This window comes from Homo sapiens, chromosome 1 (assembly GCF_000001405.40).
Source record: "Homo sapiens chromosome 1, GRCh38.p14 Primary Assembly".
NCBI lineage: Eukaryota > Metazoa > Chordata > Mammalia > Primates > Hominidae > Homo > Homo sapiens.
Genome location: NC_000001.11, coordinates 146,938,055 through 146,959,036, shown reverse-complemented (window position 1 = coordinate 146,959,036; position 20,982 = coordinate 146,938,055). Strand labels below are relative to the sequence as shown.

The 20,982-nt window shown below is 43.2% G+C and overlaps 1 protein-coding gene and 1 pseudogene across 1 annotated transcript in view; one reads left to right on the top strand and one right to left on the bottom strand.

Annotated features, from left to right (window-relative positions):
• NBPF12 (NBPF member 12) overlaps positions 1-20,713 on the bottom strand; it is a 57,875-nt gene extending 37,162 nt beyond the window's left edge. The window contains exons 1-5 of the mRNA NM_001278141.3: positions 20,025-20,713; positions 15,475-15,746; positions 12,430-12,482; positions 9,615-9,713; positions 7,548-7,689 (exon numbers count right to left, since the gene is read on the bottom strand). The gene's annotated coding sequence lies outside the window, so the exon portion shown is untranslated. The remainder of the gene's footprint in view (positions 1-7,547; positions 7,690-9,614; positions 9,714-12,429; positions 12,483-15,474; positions 15,747-20,024) is intronic.
• Positions 1,369-1,776, top strand: PFN1P8 (profilin 1 pseudogene 8; annotated as a pseudogene).
• Positions 20,714-20,982: the final 269 nt, after the last annotated feature.

Here is a 20,982-nt window from a genome sequence, read left to right as displayed (position 1 = left end):
AACTACTGTGCATAAGTAACTATGAATATTCTCATACAATTATTTCTGTGAAGATACATACTTATTTTCCTGGGTATCTATAGCTAGGGATGGAGTTGCTTGGTGAATGGGTAGAAAATGTTGGACAGAGTTTTGCAAAGTATTTGTATTGTTTTACATTTCTATGAAAGATGTAGGCCATTTCCAGTTGCTCTACATTCCCACACACTTAATATTTTCAGTCTTTTAAACTATGCCAGGTGTGTAGTGATATCCTAAAATTTGGTTTTCTCATGCCTAATGTTCATTTAGATATCTTCTTATGGAAAATATCTTCTCAAATTTTTATATTCATTGATATACTGGGCTGTTTGTCAATTTCTTTGTAATAGGAGTTCTTTATATATTTTGAATGAGTCCATTTATACATACATATTTTTTGCTGTATTATATAGCAAATAATTATTCCTGGTCTAGAGATAGCGTTTAAGTTGTTAAACAACAACATAATAAGGAGAAGCTTTTTAAAAATGAAGTGCAATTCGCTTGATTTCTTATTGTGGTGAGTGCTACAGTATCTAGTCTAAGAAATATTTTCCTGTGTCAAGTTCATGAAACTATTTCCTATTTTTCCTTTACAAGGTTTCTAATTTTAACTTTCACATCTTAAGTTAATTTCAATATATGATGGAGAGTGGTTAATATTAACTGTTTAAAACAACAAATATTATTTCACTCAAAATCGTTTTACTTAAAAGTCTTTCATTTCCCCAATGAAGGGCATTGGTGTCTTTGTTTTTAAAACATTTAGAAGCGGCGGTGCGAGCATGTTCTCACTCATGGGTGGGAATTGAACAATGAGAACACTTGGACACAGGGCGGGGAACATCACACACCAGGGCCTGTCATGGGGTGAGGGCTGGGGGAGGGATAGCATTAGGATATATACCTAGTGTAAATGACGAGTTAATGGGTGCAGCAAACCAACATGGCACACGTGTGTATATGTATATAATATATATACACGTGTATATGTATTATTTATATATACACATGTATATATATATATACACACACATATATACATGTATACACGTATATATAAAATATATATACACACACGAATATATATTATATACGTGTATATACATACGTGTATATATATGTGTATATACATAATATACAATATATATAACACGTGTATATATATATATATTATATTTTTTTTTTCTTTTTTAAGTGGCGGAGCGAGGGCTACTGCACAGCTAGCAGAGTCGTGGCGAGGAGGACAGCACCTGCATCGAGCTCTCCGCCTCCCCCACCTGCCAGCCCAGGCGGCCCCAGCAGCAGCGACCAGAGGAGCCCCTGCAGCAACGCAAAGGCCAGGTGGACACCTCCATCTACAGCCTCGTGGCGGACGGGACCTGTTAGGACACGGCCATTGTGGGCAACAAGGACCCACCTTCCATCTGTGCCACCGTCCCAGGGAAAACCTTCCTCAACATCACGCCAGCTGAGGTTGGTGCCCTGGTTGGCAAAGACTGGTCAAGCTTTGTCATGAATGGGCTGACACTGGGGGGCCAGAAATATACTGTGGTCCTGGACTCACTGCTGCAGGATGGGGAATTGACCACGGATCTTTGTATGAAGAGCATCAGTGGAGCCCCCACCTTCAACGTCATTGTCACCATGACTGCCAAGACGCTAGGCCTGCTGATGGGCAAAGAAGGTATCCATGGCAATTTCATCAACAAGTAATGTTATGAAATGGCCTCCCACCTTCAGCGTTCCCAGTACTGACCTCCTTTGTTCCTTCCACTCCACCGCTCCCCACAGCTTTGCCCGCCTTTCCTTCACATACACACACCATTTTAATTTCAGGAGTCATTACCCCACACACCTTATTGCTGCCAAAACCACATGGGCTGGGGGCCAGGGATAGATGGACAGACACCTTCCCCCACCCATACCCCTCCTGTGTGTGGCTGGAAAACTTTTTTGTTTTGATGGATTTTTTATGAATAAAAAAGATTCTACTAAAAAAAATCAATAACTGTACATATGTGGGCATATTGTTTGAATCTGTATTCTTTTACTTTGATATATTTATGAATACTTACACCATTACTACTGTTTTTAAATTACTGTAGCTTTAAAATCAGGTTTGAAATCTAGCAGAGCAAGTCCTCCAACTTATTGCTTCTTCAAGACCGACTTGCTTATTCTAGGTTCTTTGATTTTCAAATACATTTTGAAACTAGCTTTCAAATTTCTCTAAAATCTCCTACTAGAAATATTAATCAGAATTGTGTTGATGTAATATGCTAACAAAATTGAGTCTTCCAATCAATGAACATGATATATATTTATTTAGCCTTCTTTAATTTTTCTCACCAATTGCTTTTAGGGGCCTCGTACCTGCTTCATTGCATGTGTTGTTAAGCATGTAATGATTCTGGCTATTAATCTCTATTATGTTTTATTGAATTTCATTTTCTAGCTGCTAATTGCTAGTATGGAGAAATTAAGATGATGAAATCAACTTTATAAAGGCATAATTTCGGTACAACAGACTGCACCACTTTAAAATGTGTAATTCAATGCACGTTTACAAATGGATGCACTAACGGAACTACTGCCACAACCAAGATAGAGGAAATTCCCTATGCCCCAAAGTTTCTTGTACCCCTTTGCAGTTCATCAGCCTTTCAACCCTCAGCCCCAAGGAGCCACTGTCACTTCAGGTCCGTTTGCATTTTTAACCATTTTCTACAAATGAAATGATACCTGTGTTCTTTTGTGTCTGCCTTCTTTCATGCATCAATGTAATTTTAAAATCCATCTGTAATGTCTTGTAAAGACTGAGTAGTATTCCTTCATGTGGCTATACCATGTATGTTTGTACTTTCACTTATTATTGGACATTTCTATCATTCCGCGTTTGGGCTATTATGAAGAAACTATCATGAGCATCCATACGTAGCAGGCCAGGTCTCACTAACACAGGCCTCCCTAACAACTGTTTCAGTAGCGACTGAGTGGTTCAATTAAATATTAAGAGGAAAAAAAAAAAGAAGCCAGTGCCCTTATACAAAGGCTGGAATGTAACAAAAGCCCACCAAGAGTTTTGCCTAGGTTTTTCCTGGGCCTTAAAGCATGACGAAATAACGAAGGCATTCTTAACAGGAGCCATTTAGTATTAAACGAGTTTTACTGGGGGTCTGAAGAAACTCCCCAGGCCTCCACAAACAAGTTTATTGGAGATCTGAAGGGACTCTCCAAACCTCTGTGATTTAGCAGGAGACAAGATAAGGGCCCCCAGCACCTAGACCCACTTAGATTAAGTGAATTTAACTGAGGTTCCAGAGGAAGGTCTTTAGGACTCAGACTTAGTTATAGATTAAAAGAAGTTAATCACTTATGTATTTAGATGAATGCACACTTCCACATACACATATAGCTTAGAAGGTACATTAGCTCAGGAAAACTTTCCAATTTTGAGTTGGTCTGGTGATAATTTCCAGGCCGTTTCCCTGTAACCAGTTGCAGAAGTCAAAACTCTCTTCCTCCCCAGTTCATCTGTGTCTCGTTACTGAGCCACGAGAAATAGCAGCCCGCCCCTCAGGTTGGTCTGGAAACACACATACAGATCATTGTGCAGACACAGTGTGTAAATTCCTAGGAATGGAATGACTGTCTATCTGATTTGTGTTATGTTTAACCTTTAAGAAACTGTTAGATTTTCAAAGGAGCAATACCATTTTTCATTCCTACAAGTATAAGACTTCCAAGTGCTTTATATCCTCACCAACATGTGCTATTTTCAGCCTTTTTAATTTTAGCCATTCTTATGGATATGTACTGGTATCTCATTGTTGCACTGATTGATCTCCCTGATGACTAAACAGTGGAGCATCTTTTCCTATGCTAATTGACCATTCATGTATCTTCTTTTCTGAAGTATCTATTCAAGTCTTTTGAGAAATTGTTTCATTGTGCTGTTTATCTTATCAGACTGCAATATATATATGTGTGTGTGTGTGTATATATATATATATATATATATATATATATATATATATATATATTCCCTATTTGGAGATGATAATCTTCAAAACGGTGAATATATATATATACACACACACACACACACACACGTTTGTGTGTGTGTGTGTGGGTGTGTATACATATATATATGTCCTAAGAATCAATTAGACATACATGTGAGTATCTATTTCTGGATTCTCTCTTCTCTTCCACTGATATATATTCTATTTTTTTTTCAACAAAACACATAATCTTGATTTTCATAGCTGTATGTAGAGTAATTCTGGAAATAGGTAGTGAATTCATTCACCATTATTCTTTTATAATATTGCTATTTTATTATTCTTGATCATTGACATTACCATATAAATGGTAGAATCAGCTTGAAAATTTCTACCAAAATGCCGCTTGGAATTTTTATTAGAATTGCATTGGATCTGGAGATCAATTTACGAAGAACTGACTCTTTAAACATAACAACTCTTCTGATCCATGACAAGGTTTATCTCCCCACTAATTTAGTTCTTTCATAATTTCTCAAAGCAATTTTTTGTAGTTTTTGGTGTACTGGCCTTACATAAATTTTGTTGACTTTCCTTTTTTTTTTTTTTTTTTTTTTTTGAGACAGAGTCTTGCTCTGTTACCCAGGCTGGAGTGCAGTGATGCGATCTCGGCTCACTGTAACCTCTGCCTCCCAGGTTCAAGTGATCCTCCTGCCTCAGCCTCCCAAGTAGCTGGACTACAGGCACATGCCACCACGCCTAGCTAATTTTTTGTATTTTTAGTAGAGATGGGGTTTCACTGTGTTAGGCGTGATGGTCTCCATCTCCTGACCTCATGATCTGCCCACCTCGGCTTCCCAAAGTGCTGAGATTACAAGTGTGAGCCATGGTGCCCAGTCTGTTGAATTTATTTATAAGCACAACATGTATTTAGATGTTACTTTAAATGAAATTGTATTCTTATTTCATTTTCCAAATGCTCATTGCTAATATACAGAAATACAAAAGACCACTTACATTGAGAGCTTACATTCTGCAACACTACCAAACTCACTGATTAGTTCTGGTAGATTTTTGTAGATTTCTAGCATTGTTAACAAACACAGTCATTATCTGTGAATAAAGACAGCTTCAATTCTTTCAATACTTTATTAATTTTTCTTACTTTATTGCATTGACTTAGAGCTCTAGTATAATGCTGAATTAAAAGAGTAACAACAGGTATTCTACTTTTTTCTCTGATTTAATAGAAAAGCATTCAATCTTATGCCATTTAATATAATGTTACTTGTGGGTTCTTCAAATCTGCCCTTAATGGGGTTGGAAGTGTTGCCTTCTGTTCTCATCATGCTGAGCATTTTCTGGGGTTTGTTTTTATAAATCATGAAAAAAGTTTTCAATTTTGCCAAATGCTTTTACTGTGTATGACAAGGTAATCATACGGTTTTTCTCTTTTGCCCTGATAATATATAAAATGATATTTTTTAAATATAAAAAAGAGGCCGGGCATGGTGGCTCACGCCTGTAATCCCAGCACTTTGGGAGGCTGAGGCGGGCGGATCACACTTGTGGCAGCATTGAAGGCTTCACTCTTCCCCAAGGGATCCAATCTCCCCCCAGTCAAGAAGCTCCAGGTATCTGAACTGGATACCAGGTCATAAATTTCCACTATGGTGACTCCAACAGGTCTCTGTCCTCAGAACTAGAGCTTTTCTAATTATTACATAAGTTGACTTCTTAGTAGATTTCCCATCCATTACATCCCAGACACCTCACAATGATTAGTAACCACCACATGTCCCTGCCTCTCAAGGAAATCCCTCCCGCCTTGTCTCTAGACAGCCAAGTCCCACGGCCTGTCCTCTGAGACTCTTCCAGAATCCTGTTGTTCTGACAGCAGGGAGGGCAAATCCATGCAGCATCTCCCGCCATGACCTCCAGCCTGTAGAGGAGAGGCGCCACAGGACCTTTACAGGCACGCCGCTGTTCCCCTCACCCATGCATTTCTTAATGCCTTGGTGAGGAGAATGCCTCTGGGTCTTCCTTGGTGGGAGCTAAAGGAACAAAGGTAAATAATGCTATGGGACCCACTGAGAATTGGGGCTGTGGAAGAGTGGCCACTGAAGTAATAGACAGATGCAGCTATTGCCAGATACTCAGTGCCAGAGCAGGGAGGGAGAGGGAAGAAATACGGACCTCACCTTCCTCTCACTTCCAGGCTCCATCGGGTGCCCACATTGCTAAACCTAACTAGAAGTGTGCACACAGGGGAGCCAGGGATGCATTCTAGAAGGGACAAGCCCCAAGTGGCGTAAGACAGGATGGAAATGAGTGGAAAGTGGATCTGTGGGAAGGAGGAGGGGATGTTATGGGGAAACAAAAGGAGAATACTAGCTAATAACGCTAGGTGACACTAATATCCCCAAGTCTGTGCTCATATTCAGAAAAGAAAGCTCAGCATAAAGCACTCAACCAGGAGTCAAGATATTGTTATTTTCAACTGTTGTTCCAACAGTTGTATTATAAAGGGCCAGTTTATTTCATGCCTTTCTAATTTGACATAAAGTGCTACACGGCATTGGGGCTGGTACAGCCTCGCTCAATTATGTTTTGAAGAGTACACAGAGACTGCCAGGCTGAGGGACGATGCAAGAGAATAGAAGAGATGCTCACAGAGAACCACAGACCACACGGCCCTAGAGTCAGGGGCAGCACCAGCCACTGTCAGCTGCTCATTTGTCCAGACAGAGCCCACAAGCCTCAGCCATGCTTTGCTTCTGCAAGATGCTTCTTCACCTTTTCAATAAACCTGCCTGAATTAAAGCTGATGGGAGTTTATTTCTCCTTCATCATAAAAGAAATTCTTCACCACAACAATCTCCAATGAATTGTGGGCACAGAAGGCAGACCCATCCCTGCTTCTCTTCCACTATCTCCCCTGTAGGCTGAAAAGGAGGAGGTACTGAATTACCTCCAAATGTTCCTCTGGCTCTGATATTCTGTGACTCTGGTTTCTTTTTGGCTACTTTGTTTTTGGAAGCATGTATCCTAAGGCATCCAGTTGAAAAACCTTTGTCTACTGTGTCCAGACATTCCTGGTGGTATTTCAGATAAGACACTCTTGGGTTGCTGCACTCACAAGCACTGAAACAATTCTATGACCATCTGTTTCATGGCCACCTGTTTGCTCATTTTCTATGTACATAAAGGGAGGGGACAGACAGCAAATTTGCATATTATAAATTGTATCATCTTAAAAAGGAAACAAGGCAATATTTTGCAATAAAACCTTAAGATACATTAAATTTAAGCCTAATGCAATAAAGAATGCCCATAAAATTATTATCTAAAGAATGTTTAGAAAATTGTTGAACAAGGGACATCATCATTTAAAGTGATATGAAGAAAACTCAGCTAAGCATATGGGCTAGATTAGAGAGAAAAATAAAGGACACATCTCTGCCCTGGAAAAACTACTGGTAGCATCTTTCAGAAAGCTCTCTGTGTTTGAGTACGCACCTTGATCCATAGGCTCACATTTGATCCCAACTGGCAGCTGCTTCTTGGCATTAACTTTGGATTCCCAACCAGTAAATCTTAGCAAGATCTGAGTTTCTCCAGGTATGATATTATTTTGTTTGACCATCCTTATCTTCAAGGGCTACCAAGAAGAAACAAATAATTTATTTACCTCCCCAGAGGAAAAGGTTTTACCAATGAGACACTTTCTTACCATGACCCCAGGGCCCCCATGCCCTGTTCACTTGAGTGCCCTGTGTGGCCTGAGAGAAGCTCATACTGGTCACAGGATTCTTTATATGATTAAACTCCTTCCTGAATCCCAACTTCATGGTGGTGGTGATGACAGGTATCCCATGCTCATGTCCCTGAAGTCATCAGCCTGTCTCCAGTTAGAAAAAATTACATGTATATAGAGAGGCCTCTTTGGAAGTAGCAAAAGCTTTCTCACCTTCATACATTAATGGTTGGAATGTACAATAGTATAAACACTTTGGGAAAAAATGTCTGGCATATTCTTACAGAACTAAACAACTACCTATTCTATGACTCAGTAATTCCTAAGCATTTATCCAAGAGAAATTAAAACATATGTGCAGAAAATGATATATACAAGAATGTCCATAGCAGTTTTATTCGTAATAGGAAAAACTGGAAACATTCAAATATCTATCAATACAAGAATGGATACATTCTTGTATTCAAATATCTATCAATATACATTCAAATATACATTCAAATATCTATCAATACAAGAATGTGATACATTCATTCCATGGAATGGCTAAAGGAACAAACTTTTGACACACAAAACAACATGGATGAATCTCAAAAACATTTTGAGTGCAATAGGAGCCATACGCAAAAGAGTGTGAGAAAAATGATAAATAATAATGGTTTCAAGAAATGCAGAGCAGAGAGCCCAGAGGCAAAGACCCACAGGACAGAGGGTCAGTCCCAGGCTGTGGATCCTAACTAAGAAACTCCTGCTGGATTTTGCCCAGCTCCATTTCCAAACTATTTTGGGTTAGTGACTTCTTTATCCCCTCCATGTTCCCTCATTTTGAACTAGAATCACTGTAGTTGTTATTCTATGTCTGTCCCATCATTTCACATTAGGGACAGATAAGCTGTTTGTTCAGTTTCACAGGTCGACAGAGGTAAGGGAATTATGTCAAGGATCTGCACTTAATGGACACTCTCGGAAGCCTCATTCACACCTGGTGTGGATGTTTTAGATGGGATTTTAAACTTTTGATCTGATGTGGTCTACATGACATTTTTCATGTTGAACTAATGCTTTAATGACATGAAATCTGGAAACCTCAGGGGAGAGGGTAAATGCACTTTGCAGATGGGGGAATGTGCGTGTCCTACTGTGGTAGATGGAATTTCTGAAATGGTCCCCAAACATGCCACACCCTTGTCTCTAAAGCCTCTTAACGTGATGAGACACCATTCCTGTGACTATGTTGTTATATGCCAGTTATATGACTTTAAGATGGTGAGGTTACCGCATGAACTGGATCTAATCACATCACTCCACACATGACAGAGCTTTGTGTGGCTGGTTGGAGAAGATGAAGTCAGAGAAGGTGGGAGCTTGAGAAGGACTCCATAAGTTGTTATTGGTTGAAAGATGAAACAGACAGGTAAGGAGGAAAGCACGTGGCCTCTGGAGTCAGAGTAGAGTGTCTCCCTGCTGACAGCCAGCACAGAAAAAGGGCCCTCAGTCCCCCACAAACAAGAATAGGAACTCTTTCATTATCTGTAGTGAACCTGGAAAAATAGCTTGAGCTCTAGGAAAAAAACATAGCCAGCCCATTCCCGGATTTTAGTCTCACATGACTCTGATCAGAGAACCCGGCCGCTTCATTCCAGACTTCTGTGGTTTCAAACCACTGGTTTGTGGTAATGTGATAATAGGCAGCGAGAGAAAACTAGTACAGGTGCCTGTCTCTCCTCTTGAATTTCAATTTCAGATAAATGTATGCTAACCCTCTAAGAGAAAAAAATCAATCAATCGACCAATCAATGAAAGAACTACAGTAAAAATATTGCCCTCACCTTTATGTGGCTGTTCCAGAGCCCTTGCCACCTGAAGAAGACAATGAGGGGTATTTCAGGCACTTGAGGAGTGTGGCTTTACTGTTATCAATCACATTTCTGAAAGAATAAAAATGGTTCAGTGAAGGGATGGGTTGCCCCTCCACACCTGTGGGCGTTTCTCGTTAGGTGGAAGGAGAGACTTGGAAAAGAAAGAGACACAGAGACAAAGTACAGAGAAAGAAAAATGGGCCCAGGGGACCGTATGCTGAACGCATACGGAGGACCCATGCCGGAGGACCCATGCCGGCACTGGCCTCTGAGTTCCCTTAGTATTTATTGATCATTATCGGGCGTTTCCGGAGAGGGGGATGTGGCAGGACAATAGGATAATAGTGGAGAGAAGATCAGCAGGTAAACACGTGAACAAATGTCTCTGCATCATAAACAAGGTAAAGAAAAAAGTGCTGTGCTTTTGATGTGCATATACATAAACATCTCAATGCCTTAAAGAGCAGTATTGCTGCCAGCATGTCCCACCTCCAGTCCTAAGGCGGTTTTCTCCTATCTCAGTAGATGGAATATACAATCGGGCTTTACACCGAGACATTCCATTGCCCAGGGATGAGCAGGAGACAGACGCCTTCCTCTTATCTCAACTGCAAAGAGGCCTTCCTTCCTCTTTTACTAATCCTCCTCAGCACAGACCCTTTACGGGTGTCGGGCTGGGGGACAGTCAGGTCTTTCCCTTCCCATGAGGCTGTATTTCAGACTATCACATGGGGAGAAACCTTGGACAATACCTGGCTTTCCTAGGCAGAGGTCCCTGCAGTCTTCCGCAGTGTAGTGTCTCTGGGTACTTGAGATTAGGGAGTGGTGATGACTCTTAACAAGCATGCTGCCTTCAAGCATTTGTTTAACAAAGCACACCCTGAACAGCCCTTAATCCATTTAACCCTGAGTTGACACAGCCCATGTCTTAGGGAGCACAGGGTTGGGGGTAGGGTTACAGATTAACAGCGTCTCAAGGCAAAAGAATTTTTCTTAGTACAGAACAAAATGGAGTCTCTTATGTCTACTTCTTCCTACACAGACACAGTAACAATCTGATCTCTCTTTCTTTTCCCCACAGTTCAGGTCAGGCCGTGGCTCATATCTGTAATCCTAGCACTTTGAGAGGCCAAGCAGGTGGATCACTTGAGGTCAAGAGTTAGAGACCAACCTGGCCAACATGAAGAAACCCTGTCTCTACCAAAAATACAAACATTAGCCAGGTGTGGTAGCAGGCGCCTGTAATCCCAGCTATTCAGGAGGCCGAGGCAGGAGAATCACTTGAACTCAGGAGGTGGAGGTTGCAGTGAGCTGAGATGGCGCCGTTGCATTCGAGCCCAAGGAAAAGAGAAATAACTCCATCTCCAAAAAAAGAGATAAAATAAAATAAAGACGGTTCACTACTTAACTCCAAATATTATTATGTGAAAATGTATCATCTCAATTTTAATAGCAGATTTTAAAAAATTCCTTTTCTTGTGCTCACCAGACAAGGTTTGGTAACAAATACCAGTCACCAGCACAGAAGAACCAATTCAAGGAGAGCCATAAACAGGACTACTATTATGTTCCCCCAAAAACCATCCCTAGAATGCAATCTCTTCTCTACTTGTCACAAAACGAACACAATAGTCCACTACATAAAGTCCCAAACACAGGAAAATGTAAATATAATGAAGTCTGCTTTCCAAATGTTTATTCTATTCAGACCCAGTCATGGGGACCAGGGATTAGGAAATGACTACAAACAGGTTCAAGGGAATTTGGGAAGTGACAAAATGTGCTGAAGTAGAACTCTGCTGATGGCTGCACAATTCGATAAATCAACTTACATCATTGAGTTGTACATTAACAATGGGGGACTTTTATAACAAGTAATTCTTTAAACAAACTTTTGGGTTTCTATTTCAACATGGAAAGAGCTAGGCAGTCATCACTTGTCCTCACAGCTAGAAAAAAGCTGAACAAACTGAAAGTCAACCCTTCTAGGGTGGATCAGAGAATTGAGGTCACAGGGAAAACTGCCACCTTAAAAATGAGAAACACAGGCTAACACATAAGGAGTCACAGGTCACAGGGAAGAGAAGCTACTGGGGACAGCAAGTGGGAGGAGCACTTAAATGATATTGACAGATTACTAGAAGCTGAGGGTAGCCTGGCTAGAACATTAAAAACTCCTTGAAGACCAGACTAAGGGGGAATCTTACACATTTCCAAGTTTTACTACAATGATCTCAACCAGGTTCTCATGATGAAGTTCAGAAAAACTCCCTGAGGTTTGGCACTACCAACTTCAGGACTTACATTAAGCTACAGTAACCCAAATAGTGTGAAGTTGGTGAAAAGAGAAAACACACACAAATAGATGCATGGAAAAGAATACGGAGCCCAGAAGCAGGCCTACATACAGTCCACTGATCTTCCATGGAGCTTTAGAGACAATTTAAAACAGCAAAGATAGCCTTTCCAACTAGTGGTGCTAGAACAGCTGGACAACCACATGCAAAAAACTAAATAAATCCAGGTATGCATGTTATATCCTTTATAAAATAAATCTTACACGTAAATGTAAGTGCAAAACCATAAGAATCCTAGGAGATAACATAGGAGAAAATCTCGGGGATCCTGGGTTCAATGATGGCTTCTTAAATACAAAACCAAAAGCACAATCTACTAATGAAAAAAAATTAAGTTGAGCCTCATTAAAATTAAAAACTTCTGTTCTGTGAAAGACACTGTTAAGAGAATGGAAAAAGCAAGTCACAGACTGGGAGAAAATACTTACAAAATAATCTGATGGAAAAACTGCTGTCCAAAATATATGAAGAATTCTGAGAACTAAACAACACAAAGCAAAAAAAAAAAAAAAAAAAAAAAAAAGGTGAAAGATCTGAACACCTCATTAATAAGATATACAGATGGCAAATAAGCATATGAGAAAGATGCTCAAAATCATTTGTGAGGGAATTGCACATTAAAACAACGAGATATCACCGTAAACCTATCAGAATGGCTAAAACACAAAACGGTGAACACACCAAATGCTGTCAAAGATCAGGAACAACCAGAACTCTCCATAGCTAGTGGAAATCAAAAGTGTAGTCACTTTGGAAAACTTAAGTTCATTCAAAATCCTGCACGTAAGTACTTACAGCAATTTTATCATAATTGTCAAAACTTGGAAGTACCCAAGACGTCTTTCACCAAGTGAATGAATAAACAAACTGTGTTGTAGCCATACAATGAAATCTGATTCAGTGATTTTACAAAACAAGCTATCAAGTCATGAAAAGGCGTGGAGGAACTTAAAGTACATAATGCTAGAAAGAAGCCAGTCTGGAAACCTACATACTGTAATTCCAACTCTAGGACATTCTTGGAAAGTCAAAAAGATAGAAGTAGTAAAACGATGAGTGGTTGTCAGGGGTGGAGGAGAGGAGGAGGCATGAAATGGTGAAGCACAGGGAATTTTCAGCAGTGAAACTATTTTGCATGATGCTGTATTGAGGATTTAGGACATTACGTAATTGCCAAAACCCACAATCTGTGAAACTCAAAGAATGAACTCTAACGTAAACTATGGACTTTAGTTGATAATGATGTATCAACAGTGGTTCATCAATTGTAACGAATGGACCACACTAATACAATATACTAATAGGGGAAATTGTGTGCTGGAGGACAGGGGAGCCTAGGAGAACTCTCTGTACTATCTACTCCATTTTTCTGTAAACCTAGAACTGTTCTAAAAAATAACATCTATTACTTTTTTTTAATTAGGATGCAGCAGCCCCTTACCAAGGTTTTGGTGGCATCCTGTTATTGTTTGGTTAGTACTTGGCATTGAAGTGCACCAACCTGGAGTCAGAGCAGTTGGAGATTTCAACGCCTATGCCATTTACCTCTAACCCTGGGGTGCCCCCGGAACACAGCTAGCAGATCAGTTAGGCAGAAGCAGCCTCAGTCATCTAGACAGTGCAGGGTTCTGGTAAGGACAGGTGCAAACCATCTAGGTGGGCAGAACTTGGTGATGACTAGGAACCACTGAGACTCAGCAGCTGCCCCAGTGGCACCCACAAATCAGAGGAGGAGGAGGCTGGGAGGACCTAAGGGCTACAGGATGAGCTCCCTGCCTACAAGACAGAAGCAGCTCCAGAGATTTTGATAAGTAATGTAGATTTCAGTGCAGTGTGGTCTATTTAAAATAGTAGAACAAAAAGGAAAGAAAAAGAGAGAGCATGAGAGAGAGAGAAAGAAAAAGAAAAGAAGAAAGGAAAGAATGGAGGGAGGGAGGGAAGGAGGGAGGAAGGGAGGGAGGAAGAAAAGAAGGGAGGGAGGGAGGAAGGCAGGGAGGGAGGGAGGAAGGAAGGGAGGGAGGGAGGAAGGAAGGGAGGGAGGGAGGAAGGAAGGCAGGGAGGGAGGGAGGAAGGGAGGGAGGAAGAAAAGAAGGGAGGGAGGGAGGGAGGCAGGGAGGGAGGGAGGAAGGGAGGAAGAAAGGAAGGGAGGGAGGGTGGAAGGGAAGGAGGGAGGGAAAGAATGAGAGAGAGAAAGAGAGTGGGAGGGAAGTAGGGAAGGGAGAGAAGTAGGGAAGAAAAGAAGGAAGGAAATGAACAAATTTACATGAAGATGAGAACATCCAGGGGAACTTACACCACCAGTATTTCCATTAACAGGAACATGCTAACTAGTTATTAGAGAGAGACGCACTACTGTAAAACTATATACTGTTTCCATGGGGTACAACCCCTTCTTCCTCCTGAAACACATTATTCCTCTGGCCCGCTGTTGCCAGAGACACTGAGTCTTGTCTTTGGATAAGTTCTGGTGCCCCAAAGAATGAGATGAGACAGTGGATCCCAGAACACCAGGCCGCAACCTTCCCTGCTGCTCCTTGTCCACTCCAGAAGCTGCCCGGCTGCAGGTGGGGGCCTCAGCCCCTGGGTCTGACATCGTCCATTTGTCATTCTCACTGGACTTCCCTCCTTGCACTGGCTCCCACTCCCCCAGGACCTGGTGGATGGCCACGTGAGAAGGATACAAACAGGCCATGCCCCTTTCTTTCTCCCCCTCTCAATGCCTGCAGTGGTGGGTTCCGTGGGGTAGTGACCTGAGATTTACTCATTATGGGGCCTCTAGCCCAGAGCAGGGCATGGTACCTAATAGTCACCCCATGAATGGTCAGTGAAAGAAGGCGTCCACCACAAGGTCCTGGGGAACCAAGAATTCCACTGTGGCCCATAAATTCTAAGTCCTACAGGATTCTGGAATGGGAGATGGGATCGGCCTTCAAAAGTGGTCTCTCTTTTAACCCATTATACTGGCAACTGAGCCATGTTTCCCCATCCTGGACACACCTAGAGGGCACTGCCTAAAACCACACACATCTCCCCACCCAGGACAGTGCAGAGCCTTAGCCTGGGGGATGCGGGTGGACAGGGAGGGGGTGAGCCATGAAAGCTGAAGAGGAGAAAGCAGGTGAAAGAGGACAGCAGGGTGGAAACAGAGACAGAAATGGGGGCAGAGAATGGGGGGTGAGAGGGGAAGAGAGAGGAGAGGGATGCAGATCTAGCTACCAAGGAAAAGTCCTGAAGAGAACATGTCCTCTCCTGAAGTAAAATCACTTTCACCCGACCATGGCACTACAAGTCCAGGGTGGCACATGCTGTGAATATTTGTTCATTCATTTAACAAATATTTATTTAATATCTGTTTGATGCCACGCAAGGCCCTGTGATGTTTAGGGCCCTTGGCATCTTCCCTTCACATCTGAGTCATAATAGAAAGAGGACTCTCTGACCCCATCGAGCTGGCAATGCCTCAGGATTTTTACCTGTTGGATCTGGCAGCTCTTCATGTCGGCCCACACCATGTGAGGCTGCTCTTGGTGCACTGAATGGGTAAGTTTCTACATCGGTGCCTCGGAGAGTCCACCAGAAGCCCTGGACAGTGGGAGTTGGTGGCACCCCCAGTGTGGAGGCCAAGAGCACACAGCACTGAAGCTCCAGACATCCTCAGGAGAATGATAAGGGACAATCTGCTCATGAGAGCCTGGGTCACCAGGAACCTTTGCCTGGGTCTAAACAGGATTTGCCTTCAGAATGCCTATGAGATAAAAGAGAGAAATCAAGGTTAACATTGAGATTTGGGGCTTGGGCAACTTGAAGGGTGAAGCTGCCATTTACCGAGACTGGGAAGACCCAGGCAGGAGCAGGTTGAAAGGTGGTGGGGAACTAGAGTTGGTTGGGTTTCTGTCATATGTAATCAACAGTCCTCACCAGCCTGTGCAACATAGTAAGACCCCATCTCTGAAAATAAAAAATGAGAAATTAGCCGAGCATGGTGGCGCACACTTGCACTCTCAGCTACTCGGGAGGCTGAGGCAGGAGGATTCCTTGAGCCTTGAGTTAGAGGTTAGTGAGCTATGATGGCACCACTGCACTCCAGCCTGGGGGGAAAAAATAGAGTCCTGACTAAATATTTGAGTAGCCAGGGAAGTTTTCATAAAGTAAGGAATATTTGAGGTAGATCTTAGTGAACAAGAATTCGATTCTTTCTGTTAGGGAATTAAGAGTGTGTGGGCGTAGTTAATGCTTCTTTGGAATCTCATCTACTGGTCTATCTGGTCTATCTGTACCCGTATATTCTACAGGCTGTCTCACTGAGCTTTCACTAGGTTATGCTGCAGTAACAAAAGCCCCAAAATCTTAGCAGCTACACATACAAAGGTTTATTTTTCATTGGCATTTCCTTTTATGGCAGCTTGACTATGATTCTGCTCTATACAAGCTATTTTATTTGTTAGATGGTGAAAACCGTGACACTTGGAGATTGCTGAATATGGTATTAGTATGTTCATTCATTCATTCATTTAACAAATATTTATTCAATATCTGTTTCATGCCAGGTGAGGTCAAGTACTGAGAATACAGTGGTGAATAAAAGAAACAAAATCTCTAATTTCCAGGAGCTTATATTGAAAATGAGATTGAACACATACAAAAAAAATAATAACAATAATGAATACTATATTTACAAATAATAGCTGTAAGAAATTTTAGTACCTGTTTTAAATTAGAAAAATATAAAAATTATTAAAACTAAAATGGCCAGATGTGATGGCTCACACCTGTAATCCCAACACTTTGGGATGCCAAGGTGTGACAATCAACTGAGCCCAAGTGTTTGAAACTAGTCTGGGCACCATAGGAAGACCCTGTCTACAAAAAATAAAAAATTAGCTGGGCATGGTGGTGCATGCCGTAATCCCAGCACTTTGGGAGGCTGAAGCAAGCAGACTACTTGAGCCCAAGGGTTTGAGACCAACCTGGGAAACATGTTGAATCCCCATCTCTACAGAAAATACAAAAATTAGCCAGGCATGGTGGCACACGCCTATAGTCGCAGCTACTCAGGAGGCTGAGGCAGGAGGATTGCTTGAGCCAGGAGGTGGAGGTGGCAGTGAGCTGAGATTATGCCAACACACTTCAGCCTGGGCAACAGAGTAAGACCCTGTCTGAAAAAAAAAATGCAAAAACTAAAATAAAATTGCTATAAGGTTAATATAGAAAAGTGTGTTCATATTCTTAGGCTAGGCATTGATTTCTTTTTTCTTTCTTTTTTTTTTTTTTTTTTTTGGTACAAGACAGAGTCTTGCTCTGTCAACCAGGCTGGAGTACAGTAGTGTAATCTCGGCTCAATGCAACCTCCGCCTCCTGGGTTCAAGCAATTCTCCTGCCTCAGCCTCCTGAGTAGCTGGGATTACAGGTGCCCGCCACCACATCCAGCTAATTTTTGTATTTTTAGTAGAGACGGGGTTTCACCATGTTGGCCAGGCTGGTTTCATACTCCTGACCTCGTGATCCACCTGCCTAGGCCTCCCACAGTGCTGGGATTACAGGCATGAGCCACCGCACCTGGCCAGGCATTGATTTCTTAAACAGGACACAATAAGCAGTAACCATAAAGGAAAAGATTGATAAAGTATATTTCATTAAAATTAAGATACTCTGGCCGGGTGCAGTAGCTCATGCCTATAATCCCAACACTTTGGGAGGCCGAGGCAGGTGTATCACTTGAGCCCAGGAATTCCGTATCGGGCTATGCAACATGGCAAAACCCCATGTCTAGTAAAAATACAAAAAACAGCTGAGCATGGTAGTGGTCTCCTGTAGGTCCCAGCTACTTGGGGACTGAGGCAGGAGCATCACCTGAGCCTTGGGAGGTCGAGGTTGCACTAAGCTGTGATTGTACCACTGCACTCCAGCCTGGGCAACAGAGTGAGATCTTGTCTCAAAAAGAAAAAAAATTAGAGAATCTCCATTCATGAAAAAACATCATTAAAAGAGTGAAAACGCAAGCTGCAGATTGAAAAAAGAGAAATGCAATCCATATATATCCTAGAAAGGATGCATATCCAGAATAAAGTATTACAAATCAACAGAAAAGCATATCAATGAAAACTGGATAAAAAGATTTAACAGGCACTTCATGAAAGAGGACATATAAATGGCAATAAAAGATACTCAATCTCAATACCAGGAAAATGGAAGTTGAAACCGCATTGATATATTACTGCACCTCTACGAGAATAACAAAATAATTTTTAACTGACAAGCATCAGCAAGGATGTGGGGTAACTGGAATATTCCCTGCTACCTGATAAAACACTTTGGGAAAATGTTCAGCCATATGTAATACTAAAGTTTTATCATTCATATAGCTCTAAAACCAACAATGCCACTTCTACATATATACCCCAATATAGTAATGTTCTATTTCTTAATCTGTGGTGGTTCATTTAGTAAAAACTCATGACCTGTACTTTTTTTTTTTTTTTTGAGGCAGGGTTGCACTCTGCCATCCAGGCCAGAGTGCACTGGCACGATCACTGCTCACTGCAATCTCAACCTCCCGGGCTCTGTTGACCACACACAGCTAATTTTTGTATTTTTAGTAGAGATGGCATTTTGCCACGTTGCCCAGGCTGGTCTGGAACTCCTGGGCTCAAGTGATCCGCCCACCTTGGCCTCCCGAAATGCTGGAATTACAGGTGTGATCTACCACGCCCAGATCACCTGCACGTTTAAAATTGTGAACTTCTTCTGTATACTTCAGTAACTTTTCGAAGATTTCTTTGACACAAAGTTCTCAGAAATCTTAAAGCTAGCATTTTAGAATAGAAAAAAAAAGAGCTTTTGGTTCACTGGTGAAATTTTACTAATTAAATTCAAAAACAAAAAGAAAGCTATTAATGCATAACAGCTCAGAACAAAGATTAAAAACCACCAGCACATCAGTTTTCCTTAACTTCGTGAAGCAGTGGGATTCATTCTTTCGGCAAAGAAAGGATGAACAACACTGTAACTCAAAGAAAAGATACCACTGCAAGAAAAGGCTTTTTTTTTTTTTTAGAGGGAGTCTCGCTCTGTCACCCAGGCTGGAGTGCAGTGACAAGATATCTCCGCTCACTGCAACCTCCGCCTCCCAGGTTCAAGCGAGTCTCCTGCCTCAGCCTCCCGAGTAGCTGGGACTACAGGCACCTGCCACCACTCCCGGCTAATTTTTTGTATTTTCAGTAGAGATGGGGTTTCACAGTGTTAGCCAGGATGGTCTCAATCTCCTGACCTCATGATCCGCCCGCGTCGGCCTCTTAAAGTGCTTCTTTCGAAAGCAGCTCCACCAGCAAAAGGTAGGAAGAAAGCGAGGAAACCATTCCTCGCTTGGTTAACTCTTGGGTGAAAGGACGCCAAATGAGATAATCTAAGAAGTCTCAAAGAAAGACAGACAGGCACAGAAAAATCACAGCAACTCTTTGGACTGCAAACACCAACACCACAGTCCAACCTACCAGAAATCCTGTGGTTAATTGGAGGCTTGCCCCGCTAGTCATGAGGTGATTCAGTGATCGCTACAAACGCTCCTCACATGCATCCTGGACCTGGCACACCTGGCTTGCCCATCACCAGCCTGGAGACACCGCCAGGAGCAGAATCCCGGAGGCCAATAAAGACCCCAACTTTGCAAGTCAGGGGCGCGAGCGCTCTTGCCCAAGTTCCCAGAAGGAACGGCCTCGAGGGTGGGGTGCGAAGTCAGTGTGCTCCACAGGACTTCCGAAGACGTGCCCCCGAAGCTGCTCCGTCCCTCCACCCCCTGGGATGCCACAGAACACCCGCCAGGGAGTTTCTTCCCCAGCGCCCACGAGAGGAGGGCTGTGGGCTGCAGCGGCAGGCGAGGAATCAAGCGCAGGGAACTTAGGCCCCGGCGGAGCCCTGCGGAGCCCGGCAGTGCCCGGCGCAACCGCCCCGCTCGCGTAACAAAACTTGCGGCGGCCCAGCGCGCCGCGCCTCAGCCCAGCTGTGCGCCCGCAGGTCCCAGACTCACCTGCCGCCCGGCCTGGCGCGGCGCCCTCACCTCCGGAACGCTGGGTGGACTTCGCAGTAAACTTGAACTTCCCATCCAGGCTGCAGCCGTGCCGCCGTACCTCGGCCCCGCTCCTGGCGCCGCAGGTCGCCCGTCCCGCGTTCCCAAAATCACCAGGCTCACTCAGAAGCTCAGGCAGCCTCGCGACCCTCACCTACCCCTCCCAGCACCGCCGCTATCTCAACCGCCGCCCAGCAACTTGCTTGCGGCCCGCTGGCTCCTCAGGGTCCGGATGGGCCGTGTCAGGAGAGCCCAAGGCACAGGCGCAGCTGGGCCTTAAAGGGACCCGGCTGCCTCTACCGCACAACGGGTTCGGGCCGCGGGCGGAGAAAAGGAGTAATGGAGGACGGAGCGCAGCTGGGCCTTAAAGGGACCCGGCTGCCTCTACCGCACAACGGGTTCGGGCCGCGGGCGGAGAAAACGAGTAATGGAGGACGGAGCGCAGCGGGGACGGGAAAATCCCTCTCTCCCCTCCGCCTCTCTTTCAAAGCACCAGCCCTTGACCCTGCAATTCGCCGATTTCCCCGGCCACTTGAACCGCCCCTGCCAGGTTAAAGAGGCGGGAGACACACCCCCTCGGAAGCCTGGAGCGACCCCGCCTTTAGGACTGCAGGCTTCGCGCTGCCGCACCGCCCCATAGTCTGACTTCCGGGCTCCGCCCGCGGCGCAGACGCACAGGAGTCGGAAGGCAGCCCCCAGCTCCCGCGAGAGGTGGCCTTAGGTCACTCGCAAAAACAATAACCAACGTGTCAATGGCACTTGTATTTATTTTCTAATTTAAATTTATAACAGATTTCGCAGATGGGCTTCCACTGAAATAAGCCTTTGAGAAAAAGAAAAACTTTTTTTTAACAAGATTAGGAAATACCAAGAAATATGAAGTAAAGCCATGCCATCTACCCAGCTAAAAACTTTGAAA